Source organism: Homo sapiens, chromosome 11, assembly GCF_000001405.40.
Source record: "Homo sapiens chromosome 11, GRCh38.p14 Primary Assembly".
Taxonomy (NCBI): domain Eukaryota; kingdom Metazoa; phylum Chordata; class Mammalia; order Primates; family Hominidae; genus Homo; species Homo sapiens.
Genome location: NC_000011.10, coordinates 12,876,874 through 12,892,636, shown reverse-complemented (window position 1 = coordinate 12,892,636; position 15,763 = coordinate 12,876,874). Strand labels below are relative to the sequence as shown.

The 15,763-nt window shown below is 46.8% G+C and overlaps 1 protein-coding gene across 1 annotated transcript in view, besides 2 other annotated features; it reads right to left on the bottom strand.

The window, feature by feature from the left end:
* TEAD1 (TEA domain transcription factor 1) overlaps positions 1 to 15,763 on the bottom strand; it is a 270,317-nt gene that overhangs the window by 52,101 nt on the left and 202,453 nt on the right. Inside the window, 4 exon segments of the mRNA NM_021961.6 lie at positions 9,512 to 9,636; positions 10,680 to 10,741; positions 11,586 to 11,632; positions 12,795 to 12,929. Of these exon segments, the coding sequence (NP_068780.2) occupies positions 9,512 to 9,636; positions 10,680 to 10,741; positions 11,586 to 11,632; positions 12,795 to 12,929 (369 nt within the window).
* Positions 3,218 to 3,726: an enhancer, noted in NCBI's record as "H3K27ac-H3K4me1 hESC enhancer chr11:12910458-12910966 (GRCh37/hg19 assembly coordinates)". NCBI's record gives its function as "activates a minimal SCP1, AML or CMV promoter by ChIP-STARR-seq in naive H9 embryonic stem cells {active_cell/tissue: H9 hESC(naive)}" and the evidence as "EXISTENCE:reporter gene assay evidence [ECO:0000049][PMID:30033119]".
* Positions 11,146 to 12,090: an enhancer, noted in NCBI's record as "H3K27ac-H3K4me1 hESC enhancer chr11:12902094-12903038 (GRCh37/hg19 assembly coordinates)". NCBI's record gives its function as "activates a minimal SCP1, AML or CMV promoter by ChIP-STARR-seq in primed H9 embryonic stem cells {active_cell/tissue: H9 hESC(primed)}" and the evidence as "EXISTENCE:reporter gene assay evidence [ECO:0000049][PMID:30033119]".

Genomic DNA, 15,763 nt, shown 5'->3' with positions numbered 1-15,763 from the left:
GAGTCTCCTCTGTTGCCCAGGCTGGAGAGCAATGGCGCGATCTCAGCTCACTGCAACCTCTGCTTCCCAGGTTCAAGCAAATCTCCTGCCTCAGCCTCCCGAGTAGCTGGGATTACAGGCACCCACCATCATGCCCAGCTAATTTTTGTATTTTTGTAGAAGCGGGGGATTCACCATGTTGGCCAGGCTGGTCTTGAATGCCTGACCTCAGGTGACCCACACGCCTTGCTTGGCCTCCCAAAGTGCTGGGTTTACAGGCATGAACCACTGCGCCCGGCTGAAACCTTGCTTTTTATCTTGTGTCTCCAACCTAATCCCCCATGCACAGCCATCCCCCTCTTCTTTCTTCCACAGGCCTCATTAATGTCATATTTCCTTAGAGCTGTCCTGGTCACATTTTCCAAACCAAGAAAGGATCTGTGTTCTGACAACGGAATTTTAGTTGATCTGTAAATTTAGGCCATTGAAAGAAGTATAAAAATGTGAAATTAAATCATCCTTGGGCCCACGTTTGACCAACTGCCTTTACGAGAAAGAATCATGTTATCTGCAGGATATATTTACAGACCTTCCATGCGGGCTCAACCACAGGCCTGCCAGTCCCCCAGAGGGGAGACCTTGGGCTCCCTCTGACTATGAAGACTGCTAACTCCCACATCCACGTCCAGGAGGTCCAGCCCCTTGGAATAAAGATAAGGGCCAGAACACCAGGCAGCAAAACTCCCTTCCTTCTGGCTGAGGGGCTGCCATCACCAAGCCCAGGTGACCCTTCAGGAACTCTCTCCTGTCCTGGAGCCCAAATCAAATGTCCATCTGTGAATGGAGAACAATCCCTGCCCTTCCCATTTTCCCAGATAGTGGGGTAAGTGTCATTTTCTCATACACTGTGAAATTCAGACAAAGTTCAAATAGTCAACCCTGCCATCTATTAGCCAGGTCCCAGATGAAGTTACTTAAACTCTCTGAGCTTTCCTGTCTCTAATAGGTATTTCAACAAGCTTATTTTGAGAATGAAAGGCAAAAGCATTATCATCAAGTCAGTTCTTAGCAATCCTGCTTCCTCCTCTGTTCCAGGACTCTTCAAATCTTATCAGCATCCTTGGTCTCCAACACCCAGTCATTACCATTTATCCTCCTCTTCTCACAGCTCATTAATCCACAAGGCTTTTTAATTTTATCTCCATAACATCTCTCCCCTCTGCCATTTCCTCAGCCATGGCCCCTGCCCTGGTTTGGTCCTCATCAGCCACCAGCTGGCCAACAGTATAGTTTCCTCCAGCCCCTGCTCTCACCTGATGCAGCCATCGTGTTCCTGAAGCACAAATTAGATCACATCCTCTCTTTAAAAAGCAGGGTGGGGTGGGAGAATACATATTCATATTAGATTGTATATGCACTAAAATCACTACAAAGCCTCATAAGAGAATAGTAGCAGTGGCTACCTACTTAAGGGTAGGATAGGAATGAGAAGGAAGGGACATCTCCCTTCCATTCTCTTATGCTTGGAGATTTTTTGACCACATTAATTTACTACCTTTATGAAAAGTTTAATTGATTTTAAAAACTAATTGAGGCCGTGCATGGTGGTTCACATCTGTAATCCCAGCACTTTGGGAGGCTGAGGCAGGCAAATCATTTGAGGTCAGGAGTTTGAGACCAGCCTGGCCAACATGACAAAACCTTGTCTCTACTAAAAATACAAAAATTAGCCAGGCATGATGGTACATGCCTGTAATCCCAGCTATGTGGGAGGCTGAGGCAGGGGAATTGCTTGAACCCAGGAGGTGGAGGTTGCAGTGAGCCAAGGTTGTGCCACTGTACTCCAGCCTGGGCGACGAAGCAAAACTCCATCTCAAAAGTAATTGAAAAATATTCTGACTCCTGTTAGAATTTCAGTAGAGTCCAAAGCACTTAGTGAGCACATTCTCGCAAGCTTGATCCCTGTCCAGAGCTCTGGCTCAATTTCCTTTCACATTACTGTAAGACATTCAGGTTCAGAAGCATTTGTGGAGTGCTCAGTATGTTCAGGGATATTACTAAATGTAATCATCACAGTAAGCATGGCAGCGATCCTGTTATGTCCACTTAAGACAGACTGGAAACTGAGGCTGAGCTGCGGTAATCTGCCCCAAATCTCAAACAGCTGCTAAGAATTCTAGTATCAGTCACCTCTTTGCTGCCACTAGAGCATGATGAAAGATAGGCTCTAAAGCAGCGGTCCCCTTTTTGGCACCAGAGACTGATTTTGTGGAAGACAATTTTCCATGGGTTGGAATAGGAACTCAGAGGAAACCCAGAGTAACCATCTACCCAATGTGGAAGGCCCTCAGAGGTCTGGCCTTGCTTGGGGAGCTCCTACTTTGCAGGCAGCTGTTTTTAACTTTTGAACTTTGTCTTTATTTCTTCAAAAGTACAGTGACATGGTTAAGAATACAGAGTGGTGGTAAACTTTGGCACAGTCACCGTTTTTGGAGGTAGAGCTTGATAACTTTATTTAACGTTTCTGAGCCACGGTTCCTTTATGTACAGACTGGACATAATGCTCAGCATACTAATACAGAGCTCATAAGTGCTGGTGATGATCATTATTGACATAATATATAAATAAGTTGCTTGGCTGGGCACGGTGGCTCACACCTGTAATCCCAGCACTTTGGGAGGCCGAGGTGGGTGGATCGCTTGAGCCCAGGAGTTCAAGACCAGCTTGGGCAACATAGTAAAACCCCATCTCTACTAAAAATACAGAAATCAGCTGGGTGTGGTGGTGCATGCCTGTAGTCCCAGCAACTTGGTAGGCTGAGATGGGACAATCCCTTGAGCCTGGGAGGTCGAGGCTGCAGTCAGCTGTGATTGTGCCACTACATTCCAGCCTGGGCAATGCAGTGAGACCCTGCCTCAATTAAAAAAATAAAAATAAAAATAAATGAGTTTCATATGTTGAGCAAACGTGTGCCTTCCCTGATCGGGTTTGTTCCTCTACTGTATCATGGAACTTCTCTTCTGCAAGGCAGTGAGTGCTTCCTCAAAATCTAAAGAGAACAATCTCTTTGCCTCTTTCTCCACCCCCAACTCTTCCCTCCTCTGGTTGTGTAACTCCCGCCTGAGTAAATCCTTTCTGTGCTTTCTTCCTGGCTCCTGCTCACTATGGCATCCAGACCACAACAGGCATGAGACACACAGCCTGGTGACCGGGCAGTCTGAGCAGGCAGGGGTTTGCCAGCTGCTGCCCTGGTGGGGGGCTGGAGGAACCCGCCGTGCCCCAGAATTGAGGTGGAGGCATCACTCCAGGCTTTATCAGGAAAACCACTCCCTGTGTACTTTCAGGATTCAGCTGACAGCTCAGCCAGGCCGGGTTTTCATCTGCCTAACTTGGCCTCCAGAAACTGGACCCTGATTTCAGGGAGGCCCCTTTTAAATAGCCCACCCTGGGTGGAGGATATCACACTTAACACTTGAGATCCTTTGATATGCAACACTGAAATCATGTAGAAAGTATATTTCCAACTAAAATAGTCTTTGTTTTTTACACTCTTCCTTCCTTTCTTCACCCTCTGCTGTTTTTCTCTTAGCTTCCAGTAGAGCCAAAGGTAACAGAGGGACTGACTCGCTGGTTCTCCTCCAACATAAACCACCACCAACTTGGGGAAGCTGCCGTCTGGTTTACACATGACACAGAGCCAGCAGGGGGCGATCATCCCCCTAATTATTCTCCCATTAGCTCCTTACGGCCCTGGGCTACAAAAACAGACTACTCATCAGCTACAAATGGACCGTATAGCCTTTTGGTCACTATCTCAGGATGTGGAGTCAACAGACCTGGATCTGAATCCTACTTCCCATGTCAGCTGGCTGTCTAACACTGGGCAAGCTACTTCATAAGGATTACATAAGATAATGCATAGTGTTGGCATACAGAAAATATTTAGTAAATGTTGGCCATCACTATTGCTAGGAGTGGTGGGGTTGTGAGGAAGTCTTCAATGTTGGCAAGGGTGACATATGTGGTGAGCCAACGAGTAAATTTCAGAAAATGCTGGTTCTAAGGCCACTTCAGACTAAGGAGGAGATAAACTAAGGTTCTTCTCTTGGCTTTGGTGGTACCAAAGTATGCAACCATGTCTTTTTTTCAGATGGAGTTTCACTCTTGTCACCCAGGCTGGAGTGCAGTGGCGTGATCTCAGCTCACCGCCACCTCCGCCTTTTGGGTTCAAGCGATTCTCCTGCCTCAGTCTCCCGAGTAGCTGAGATTATAGGTACCCTCCACCATGCCCAGCTAATTTTTGTATTTTTAGTAGAGATAGGGTTTCACCATGTTGGCCAGGCTGGTCTTAAACTTCTGGCCTCAAGTGACCCACCCGCCTTGGCCTCCCAAAGTGCTGGGATTACAGGCGTGAGCCATCACACCCAGCCAGCAATCATGTCTTATCTTGTCTTAAGAGATGCTACAGGCAGGCTGGGGTGCAAAGCTGGCTACTGTAAGGCAGCATCTCTCCAAGCCTCTTCTGTAGAAGGGAATAGAATAACCTACCTCACAGAGCTCAATAAAGATGAAAGAAGTCACTAATGACAAATAGCATGGAACCTGGCTACATAATTTCTTTTTTTGCCAGCACTACCTATAAGTTCTCTTCTCTACTAAAAATATTTTATAACCCCTTGGGTCTAATGAGCCTAAGCCGTTACAAAGAAGTAGGGGGAAACATATGTACATGTCTGTCTGTAACAAACATCTAGAGAATTCAAATGCAAAGTTTAACTTACTTAGGGCCCTTTAATTATTGGTCACTTTGTTCGCTTATCAAATTAATGTGGTTAATGCTGGATGTTATATTTTAAGTACTGTATGCCCAAATTTGTTAAAATGTATCAGCTGAGTTTATCTTAGATGGCCTTAATGTTTCTGTTGTTGGAACAAAACTATAGCAAAATTAAAGTCTGAGAAGTCACAAAAACTCTAAGAGCCAAAGAAACTATCTACATGATACAAATTTTTCAGTGTAACCTTAGCCCTGAAGTACCATTATACCTTGATTGTAATAGCACGTTGTGTTTGTCCAATAAAGCACACAGTATATAACTTGAGAGGCTGGTACTTAAGATACTGTCAAATGCTTTAAATAATTTTATTAATTCTCCATCACTTCAACTGGTCAGCCACCACTTTTTCCCTCTAGCACAAGAACCAACCTTCAGGCCCTCACATGTCCACTAAAATCAAATATAGATCCTATTAACAATCTGCGGCCGGGCACGGTGGTTCACGCCTGTAATCCCAGCACTTTGGGAGGCCGAGGCGGGCAGATCACGAGGTCAGGAGATCGAGACCATCTTGGCTAACACGGTGAAACCCTGTCTCACTAAAAATACAAAAAATTAGCCGGGCGTGGTGGTGGATGCCTGTAGTCCCAGCTACTTGGGAGGCTGAGGCAGGAGAATGGAGTGAACCTGGGAGGCGGAGCTTGCAGTGAGCCAAGATCGCGCCACCGCACTCCAGCCTGAGTGACAGAGCAAGACTCTGTGTCTCCAAAAAAAAAAAAAACAAACAAAAAAAAAAACAAAAAAACTTCCACATTCATTTGCATATATTAAATCATTTGTGTTCAACTGAAGAATGAGTGTTTGTAACATAGGAATATCAGAAGCGACACCAACAATAGTGACTGAGGTTAGGCAAAATAATTTCACAGCAGTGACAGAGCTCTGGCTGGTAATGTCTAATGCACATCACTTAGTATCATAATACAAGCCAGAAACATCAACATATCTATTAGGGGGTATTATTATTTTCTGAAATTATATACTTTAAATCCAAAAAGCAAGTAACTTTCAATTGTGAAGAAGGTTGGGGCATGGCAGTGCATAACTGTAGTCCCAGCTACTCAGGAGCCTGAGACATGAGGATCACTTCAGCCCAGGAGTTTGAGGCCAGCCTGGGCAACACAGTAAGACCCCATCTCAAAAAAAAAAAAAAATCAGTTGTGACAAAGGACCATTATTCCACATAAGCAGTTAGCATCCCCTGACATACTGGGTATTTATGTGCTTGGGTAGTTCTTGTGTTCTCCACCCAAGTGTGGGCTCCATGAGAAAAAGAACTTTGTTTTGTTCACTGCTGAATTTCTAACACCTGAAACAGTGGCTGGCGTGTAGTAGGTGCTCAAAAAATACTTGTTAAATAAATTCTAATTTCTCCCAATCCCCAATTCATATCCCCTAAAATATAACTATCTTTCTCAAAGGTCCCAAGGATGTTACACCAGGCCTTCCTTTCATTCCAGGGCCTTTTAAGTCATGTGGTGGAGTCTATGTAAGTCAAGCTTTTTTATTCAACAACAGCAGGCCAGATCCAGTTTACCCATTCAGATTATCATATGTATCCTGAACGTACCTGAAACACTTATCTCTGGCCTCTACTCTAGCAACTTAGTGGGCCTTGACTTTCCAAAAATAGTCACTGATTTAATATACTGCCACATACACTTCAGCTTCATCACCTCTGGAATATTCTGCTCCCTTATTCTCTCCCTGTCCAATCCTCCATCTTTCGGCTTAAGGGCTACTTCCTCAAGGAAGCTTGCCCTGTTTCCTGTTACTCACAGCGTTCAGTATTCTTCCTTCCTAGAAGTCACAGCACTTTGCAATGATCTCTCAGATAATCATCTGTTTCGTGTCTGTCTCCCCTGCTAGGCATTATACTCCCCAGGGGCGGAGGCTGTGGCCGTCTGGGCAGCGATGAGCCCCTCTCCTGTACAGCTTCTTGCACATGCAGGTGCACACGAATGTTTGCAGAATGGTCTGAATGATTCAAAATGTTTAGCCCAACAAATACTAACAACAAAAAGAGGCAATCGAGCCTTCTGGGCCCTAAGAGGTCCATAACTGGAGAGCACAGTTAACAATGAGGGAGCTACCACATTATTTTAATTTCTTTTAAAAAAAGAGAATTTTTATAAATGATTCCATAGTATTTTAACCAGGGAAGCAAAAATCATGTGGGGACTTTTGCCTCCCAGTGTCTTGGAGCTGTTTCCTAAAAAACAGTCATATGCAAACAGAAATTTGCTTACACAGGAGATATTCAGACTGAAAAGACAATTCAAGCCCGGGTGCGGTGCCTCACGCCTGTAATCCCAGCACTTCGGGAGGCCTAGGCGGGCAGATCACAAGGTCAGGAGATCGAGACCACCCTGGCTAACACGGTGAAACCCCGTCTCTACTAAAAATACAAAAAAAATTAGCCAGGCGTAGTGGCGGGCGCCTGTAGTCCCAGCTACTCGGGAGGCTGAGGCAGGAGAATGGCGTGAACCCGGGAGGCAGAGCTTGCAGTGAGTGGAGATCACACCACTGCACTCCAGCCTGGGCAACAGAGCGAGACGCTGTCTCAAAAAAAAAAAAAAAAAAAGACAATTCAAGAGACCCTCAAAACTGGGAGGTGATCTTTTACGATAGTGAAAAGGATACAATGAAATACAAGATTTGGGCTCCTGTTTCCTTCTGTTTAATCTTAAGTCACTTAGTATGTCTGGGCCTCAGTTTCTTTATCTGTAAAATGGGGAAAACAGAACCTATCATGGGGAAAACAGAACCTATCTGATGGGGCACTGTAAGGACAGAATGAAATACTCAACCACAAAGTACTCTGTAAACAACAAAGTGTCATGGAAACACCAGTTACAAGAGGCAGAAGCAGCATCTGGGCCAAAGCCCAGCCTTCAACCAAAGAACTATGTATGCTTCCCAGAAAGAACCAGCAGGACAGAGTCACGCAGGGCATCTTTCAGTTTGTCTTAATGCCTTCCACCTAGACGGATTTAACCCTCACCATCACTCTTCCTGTTAGCCACTCAGCTGCTTGGAAGGAGTCATCCAGTTGGCCTTTTCTTCTCTTTCCTGGTCTGAATAGCCCCATTTTCTTGTACCTGTCCTGATGGGCCCAATTTACATTCCTTCCCTCATTTTTCCCCCTAATTTGGAAGCAGCTCTATTTTTCCACCAGCTCCCAAAGTTCATGATTTGTGGACAAAGACATGAGTGGGCCACATGTGGGTTCTCCACTCTGGTGATGACTGGTCAAGCCCCTCTGCCCCACGGGAGGCCTTCCCTCAAGCTGAAGTGCAAACACTCCCGTGAGAGGTCACCTCCAATTGTTCAGCATCTCGGTTATCTACCACAGGCTCTTAGCTCATTCTTGACACTGTCTCCCGATAATAGAAATGACATTAAGGCAGGCAACACACAGACAGCATGGGACTTATGAGATGGGAAGGATGGGGTGAGATAGAGAACGTGGTGAGAGTTGGTGAGGATCTCAGAGACAAACTAAGGATTCCTTCAGTTTTTGCCTTGGGCTCACCCACACACAGATGCAACGCTCATACTCACAGCCAAGGAGTGGGTGTGAAGAAAGGGTACGGGGCTTGTTGGGTGGGAAAGAAGGGAGGATCACATATGTATGGGAAATGCCTGGCTGAGAAACAATGGGACGATGGGTACAAGATGGGGGTGGGGGAGGTAGGAAAGAAGAAAGTGACAAATAGAGTCCAGATGCCAATGTTACTGGTATTTATGATATTATAATGCACTGCACTCTATGGCAAACTGCTAAAGTGCCATTTTGTTACTTCTTCTTTTTTTTTTTTTTTTGAGACGGAGTCTCGCTCTGTCGCCAGGCTGGAGTGCAGTGGCGCGATCTTGGCTCACCGCAACCTCCGCCTCCTGGGTTCAACCAATTATCCTGCCTCAGCCTCCTGAGTAGCTGGGACTACATGTGCGTGGCCATGTATTTTTAGTAGAGACGGGGTTTCACCATGTTGGCCAAGATGGTCTTGATCTCCTGACCTCGTGATCCACCTGCCTCGGCCTCCCAAAGTGCTGGGATTACAGGCGTGAGCCACCATGCCTGGCCACTTCTTCTTAAGAAGTTGTTCTTAAGAAGAGAACAACTTGCTATCTTGAGAAAACAGAGTTGGAAAGAGAGTATGGAATAACAGCTAAATGATTAGGCTTTAGAGTTTTCAGGACCCGAGCTTGAATCTCTAATCCATCAGAGATTAACTGTGTGACTCTGGGAAAGTTACTTACGCTCTCTGTTTCCTCATTTGTCAGTTAGTACCTAGCTTCCTAGGGTTTTTATGAGGATGAATTGTGATCATATATCTAAATAACTCTGCATGGGACCAGGCATATGGCAAGGCTCAATAAATGTTACTTCTTGTTAAATTTTACAAAACATAAGAGCTTGTAAACGTCCCTCTCTCTGACTCAAGTATTCCCCACAGCACCTTGGGGTCCAGGACAGTAATACACCTCCTGCTCTGCTGTTTTCTACAAATCTGCCAATAGGAATCCCTTTTTACTTAATCAAAAGGCTATTCTTTCCTAGGCCCGTTTTCACACAGGATATTTGTCAGGCATGGGGCGGGGTAAAGGAGGAAAGAAAGAGAAGCAAGGAGGTAAACAGTAAAGGGAAAGAAATCCTGGATTCAAGACACACCTCTCTGGGCACACTCACCGAGTCTGGGTCTCGCTGCTGCTCGAGAAAAGCTGAAAATTCCACCAGGCGAAGCTTGGTTGTGCCAATGGAGCGACCTTGCCAGGCAGGGACTGAGGGAGCTGGGGCCGATGCAGGCTCAAACCCTGAAAGAGCAATCGTCACCTTTGATGCTGGTCACTCACCTCCCCTTGGGCCTCAGGCAAATACTGGAACAGGGCTCTACAGATGACCCAGAAGGAAATGCCAACAGCCCCCTCTCCACCGGCTCTGGCCAGGATAACTCAGACGACAGATGCTGGCAGAGGGCCCCAGTGATGGTAAACAGTCAAATAAGCACAAAGCATGTGTTCCTCATTAAGCCAACTTCAGCTAAGGTTAAGGGCTGCAGTATGAGGACATCTAATCCTGCACCAAGGGGTCTACTTGGGGACCAAGCCAAGAATGACAGGACAGTGAGAAGTGAATGCTTCCAAAGACTTCCTGTGAGACCCGAACATGCCATGCACTTCTTGTGTTTGCCCATCTTCCTTAAGACTGTGGTCACTAGCACTATAGAATATTCTCTCTGAATGCTCCGTAGCACTCGGGCACAGGGCAATACGTGAAAGCATTTTCAGTTTGGGGAATCCATAAGGGAGAGCAGTGACTTTTATACTGTACACCTCAAGTAGTGCAAAGGAGTAATTCTACACACACAGGTGGGGATGGGGGGTGCGCCTTGTGGGGAAGGAGACAGGTAGGCTAGACAGATTCATGTTTTCCACTTTGAGCTTCCATGTACTCTCTCCTTTAAAGAAAGGTAGCAGGACCGAAATCTACTTATCTAAGAAAGGGTGAATGAAACCCTATCTGGCCTTGAGACTTAGACTGCCTAATTTGGCCAGTTTATATTGAGGAAGATGCTGCAGCAACTTCGCCTTCTGAGGATAATCCAGCGTCTTCAGTGAAAGTGAGGAGGCTTCCTGTTTCTTAAACAAACCATCTGAAAAGCTCTTGGGAGATGACTGATGGGAATCGGGACCCTGTGGCCCTCCTGAGCTACAGGCTACCCAAGGATCCTGCAAGTCAGGGGCAATGTGCGGCTGTGGCAAAGTTGAGCATCTCTTGACTCTGGGAACAAAGTGCCAGACCCAGCTGTCAGCTGTGTGGGGCTGTGCTCCCAAAAAGGAGTTTCAGGGACACTCACCTGGAATGGGGGCTGTGACCGCTGGCTGGATGGGGTAGGCCTGCTGCACAAAAGGCTTGACGCTGGGAACAGAGAGATGGCAGACAGAGTTAAGAGATCGCATCTGCAGCAGGGGCTATTACCCAGGCCCCACCATGACCTCCCAGTGGGAGGTCCTTCACCGCTGTGGTCCCTGCCTGCAGGTGGTAGCACACCCCAGGCAGAGGCAGTTGTTCCATAAACTGAGAGGGACCAGCAGCCAGGTAGGGATCAAACCACCAAGCCTCATTCCAGTTCAATGGGATGTGCTGGAAAGACAGCCTGAATTCCTTGTGCTGTGGCATCTGCCTTTGAACCTCTGAGGTCAAGCAGTCACCACTTCTAGGCAAAGTGTGGGACATGCTTCAGGCTCTCCTTCTCTAGGCCAAACAATGCAAGTTTTTTTTTACAGCATATAGGCAAGGTTTCCTTTCTTTTATCCCGAAATAGCCCTTATTTCCAGTTTACTGATCTTTCTTCTCTTGCCCCCAAGGCATCAGTAGGATTTGTCTACTAGCCATCCTACTACAGGGCTGGCTAGAATGAAATGGGCTAGAGGATCACCTGTGCCGCCCTTTCTCAGGCAAGGAGGACCACAGCTCAGCCTTCAATACCATGAAGGAAGAGGGGTCCACTTCTTGCTTCCAGCTGGATGACTGCTAATACTTAAGGTGGGAATGGGGTGCTTCCACCTCTCCCAGATCCGAAAAGCCAGTCTCTTTCCTGCCAGGGGCCTAAGTACACAATAAAAAGGGGATGCCTTCTGGGACCTCAGTGTAATGCTCCTTTCTCCTCCAGGCCCTGAGACACTATGGTCCAGGAAGAGCTCTCCCCACGTGGGCTGGGACCAGCCCGTAGTTGTCAGTGCCCACCCCTCCTCAGACTTACTCTTGTGAGGATCCTGGCTGCCCTGTTTGAATCATTCCCGGCCAGAACTGGAAGGCAAAATGCAAAGGCCTCAGAATTACGAGTTTACTTCAAAGCACAGTTTAGGATGCCTACGCATCACAACCCCTGCTAAAAGACAGCAGGTTCGATCACCCAACAGAATCGCTTTCCCAGAGTGCAAATGCGGTCACCACTTGCACGAGACCACAACCTATATCCTTGGACTGGCAACCCAGAGCTCCCCTTAGCGCCTCCTTCCTGAAAATGCCCCCAAGGGCAGACGCAGGCAGCAGCTCCTGTTTTCCTTACACCTAAGCAAAGATCTGCGCGTGCTGCAGGGGGCTCACCAATATTTGAACTGACTGATTTATCCATGTACCCTCCCTTCATTCTGAAACATTCCCTGCATAATATTCTGCGTCAACAGCAGTGAAGACCCAGCAAGGCAGAGGACAAAGCTTGAACAAGGCCAGGAGCTCCAAGCGGCAATGCAGGCAGCTTCTCTGCAGCGAGCTTCCCTGCTGCGATTGGTGTGGGCTGGAAAGGGGGCATGACATAGAGGAGGGAAAGAGCAGCCTCAGGAGTCAAGCAACCCTGGGGCTGATTCTTGACATCACTATCCATTCCACTATGATCCCAGCTATCCAAACTCTTGTTTTGCTACTGAATAACCTCAGCTTTTTCATCTGCAAAATGGCAATGACAATAAGCAGCATTTAAGATTACCTGGAGGATTGAGATTATAACATAATGCTTCTCAGCCTTTGGTAGGTGTCAAAATGTAAATGTTAATAGAATACCTTGTCCCTTTAGGGGCTAGTTGCCCCTGAAGACAGAGGGACAGAGACCAAGGGCCAGGAAAAAGATAAAGAGAGAAGACGCCTGAGCCCAACCCAGAAAGGCACATTTAATTCCATGTCTTCAGGGACTCAGAATTCCTTCCTCTTCTGATTTTCTCCCTCTTCCTTTTCCTTTTTTCTTTTCTTCCTCTCCTCCTCCTTCTCCTCCCCCTCCCTTTCTCTCTAGCTCTCTGCCTCCCTTCCCTCCTTACTTTCACCACTTTAGACTCAGTTATCAGTTGACAAGGTAGCCTTTGCCCTCTCACATACCTGACCCACATGACAAGAAATGGAGGTGGGAGGCTTAACACTGGCACATGCCAACCCCAACCCCAGCAGCTGTCATTACTGGACTGAGCTCATGACTTACCCCCGGCGCCCCTGGGAAGGTCGGGCGTGGAATCCCAGGCAGCCCCAGCTTGTTATGAATGGCAGTGGCCGAGACGATCTGGGCTGAGGACATGGCCGCCATGTGCTGCAGGGCCTTATCCTTTGCAGTCTGATCCTTGAAGGTGACAGTGACACACCAACTTAATACATAACGCATGGCTACCAGGCAGGTTACACAGGCACAGCCACGAGCACATGGACTAAAATACAGAGCCACAAAATAGGCCAAAAAAAGCAAACATGCATGGATAAATAACACAGCCAGAAGGCTAAACCACACTCAACCTACCGTACCTCTCAACATTTACTGGGAAGACCCAATGGGGCAAGGCTTTTTTTAGGGATTAAATCCATTTTCCAACAGAATGTGAAGCCTCTCAGAAGAGTGGACAACGTATTTATTTAGCTTGTCAGCTTCCAGAAGATTTCTCCAATTACTTAAAACATTTAAGGAAGAAAAAAAAATAAAGGCCCTGCTTTTAAGCAAACGGATGGGAGGAGGAGTGAGAGAAGAGATGTAGCTGTGGACTGGGGTAGGACCGTCCACAGAGCTCGAGGAGCCCTATCTGTGTGTCCTGACTGTCACAGGGCCATGGTCCCAGGAGCTGCTGGGGTCATGCAAGGCCTGGAAGCCCTGCAGACACCTGGCTGGAGAGGCTCAGAAGCAGCGGGGGTTGGGGGTAACAGGGCCAAGCAGCATGCTGGCGGGGTGCATGCTTTCTCAGGTATCCCCGCCGTGGGGCTAAGGCTACGTGGGTTCGTACTGAAGCCAGGAGCCTAGGGGATGCTACAGGTACGTGGTTTCTCCTTTTCCTGAACGGGTCTTTTCTAGGAAAGCCAAGGCTAACAACACAAAGCTAGCCAAAAAAGTCTGCCAAGCACAGCTAAAATACAGAATACTCAGTTTGGTGAAAATACTTACCATGCTTGTTACCTGGATACAATAATAAACAATTTGTTAAAAGGATTGCATAAAAAGGGATTTTTTTTCTTCTTTGGTTAAAAAAAAAACATATATATATGTGTATATATACATATGTATATATGTACACAAACATATAATACTTGGGAACAATAAAATGCATAGGGGTGTGGGCCTTTTCACATTTTAGGAAGAAAAGGTGATCCAGATGGCTATCTAGAAAGGCAATGATTGAGAAGGGCACCCAACAACAGCAACAATAAAAAACTACCCCTCAACTCCTTTGCACTGGTTCTGTGGCTTCCCCAGGACAGACAGAGAAATAGCCTCCTGGTATGAGACAGGCCCGGTGGGCACAGGCAGGGCTTTGAGCCTCGTAGGCATATAAAGGCTACCGGTGCCAATAGAGGGTCTATATTCCAGGCCCAAATGCCATCAAAGCAAAAACAAAATGGTGACATCAAAATAAAAAGAGTGCTTTCCACCTCCAGGGAACGTCAAAGGGAGCTTCAGGCTAAGACACCAAGTACCAGCAGAGAGGGTGCTTCAATGCTTACTGATATAACCAAAGGTGATGAAAAAAACACATCAAGGCATCAAAAGCAAGGCCAAAGGAGTTTTTAAAAAATCAAAGCTCATGAACAACTGCTAAGGGCTTCTAAGAAAGATGTGCTAGGTGTTCCCAGGGTGTAGATACTACTTTGCCCTATAACTGTCAGGAAGACAATGTGAATTTCCAAAAAGCTTACATTAACCTTTGAAAAAGAGCCAATAAAGAAAAAGGGAAAGGGGAAGACCAGGTGTGGCTGCTCACACCTATAATCCCAGCACTTTGTGAGGCTGAGGTGGGAGGATTACTTGGGCCCAGGAGTTCAAGACCAGCCTGGGTTACATAGAGAGACCCTGTCTCCACACACACACACACAAAAAAAAAAATTAGCCAGGTGTGGTGGTGTACTTCTGTGGTTCCAGCTACTCAAGAGCCTGAGGTGGGAGGACTGTTTGAACCTGGGAGGTCAAGGCTGCAATGAGCTGTGTTCATCAAGCCACTGCACTCAAGCCTGGGCAGTAGAGCAAGACTCCATCAGAAAAAAAAAGAATGAAGGAGAAAAGGAAGGAAGAAAGGGAGGGTGGGAGGGAGAAAAGGGGAAGGAGGAAGGGAGGAAAAAAGGAAAGGGAGGGGAGGGGGGAAAAAGAAAACGGAGCCTAACACTTCCATTAATTTCTTCTTTTTTTTTTTTGAGATGGAGTTTCACTCTTGTTGCCCGGGCTGGAGTGCAGTGGCATGATCTCAGCTCATTGCAACCTCCGCTTCCCAGGTTCAAGTGATTCTCCTACCTCAGCCTCCTGAGTAGCTGGGATTACAGGCATATGCCACCATGCCCGGCTAATTTTTGTATTTGTCTTTTTAGTAGAGATGGGGTTTCACCATGTTGGCCAGGCTGGTCTCGAACTCCCGACCTCAGATGATCCACCCGCCTTGGCCTCCCAAAGTGCTGGGATTACAGGCGTAAGCCACCACGCCCAGCCACATTAATTTTTATGTCTTATATATTACTCTGGCTGTGACTGAAAAACTAAGGAGCCTCAAGTAACAGCTTTTCATGGATGCTCAAGGTCATTATGAACATCTGTAATGACACCTCCCGTGGCCGAGTGACACTCCAAGGGCCCTAGAAGCTGGCAGGATTCCTGGGCCTCAAAAGAACGGCCAGAGTGACTCAGAATGATCCTTTTGCTGCTGTTATCTCCTTCTTATCAGATGGCAGTTCTTCGACTTGGGGCTCCATTTGCTAATCTGTCAAATGTTCTAACCTAAAGCTAGCTTCCTCAACTAACCTTTTTTTTAAGATTTGAAACATGTCAGATACTGAGGATGCCAGAAAGAGGGCAAATCTTGAAGTGTATGGGATTTTATGATAAACTGACAAACTGGGCCCACACATGCAGACCTCAGTGCCAGGCAATCTACTGTTGGCTATTCTGTGGCTTTACCTGCTCCTCGCTTGTCCATCCCCTCAGAGGGT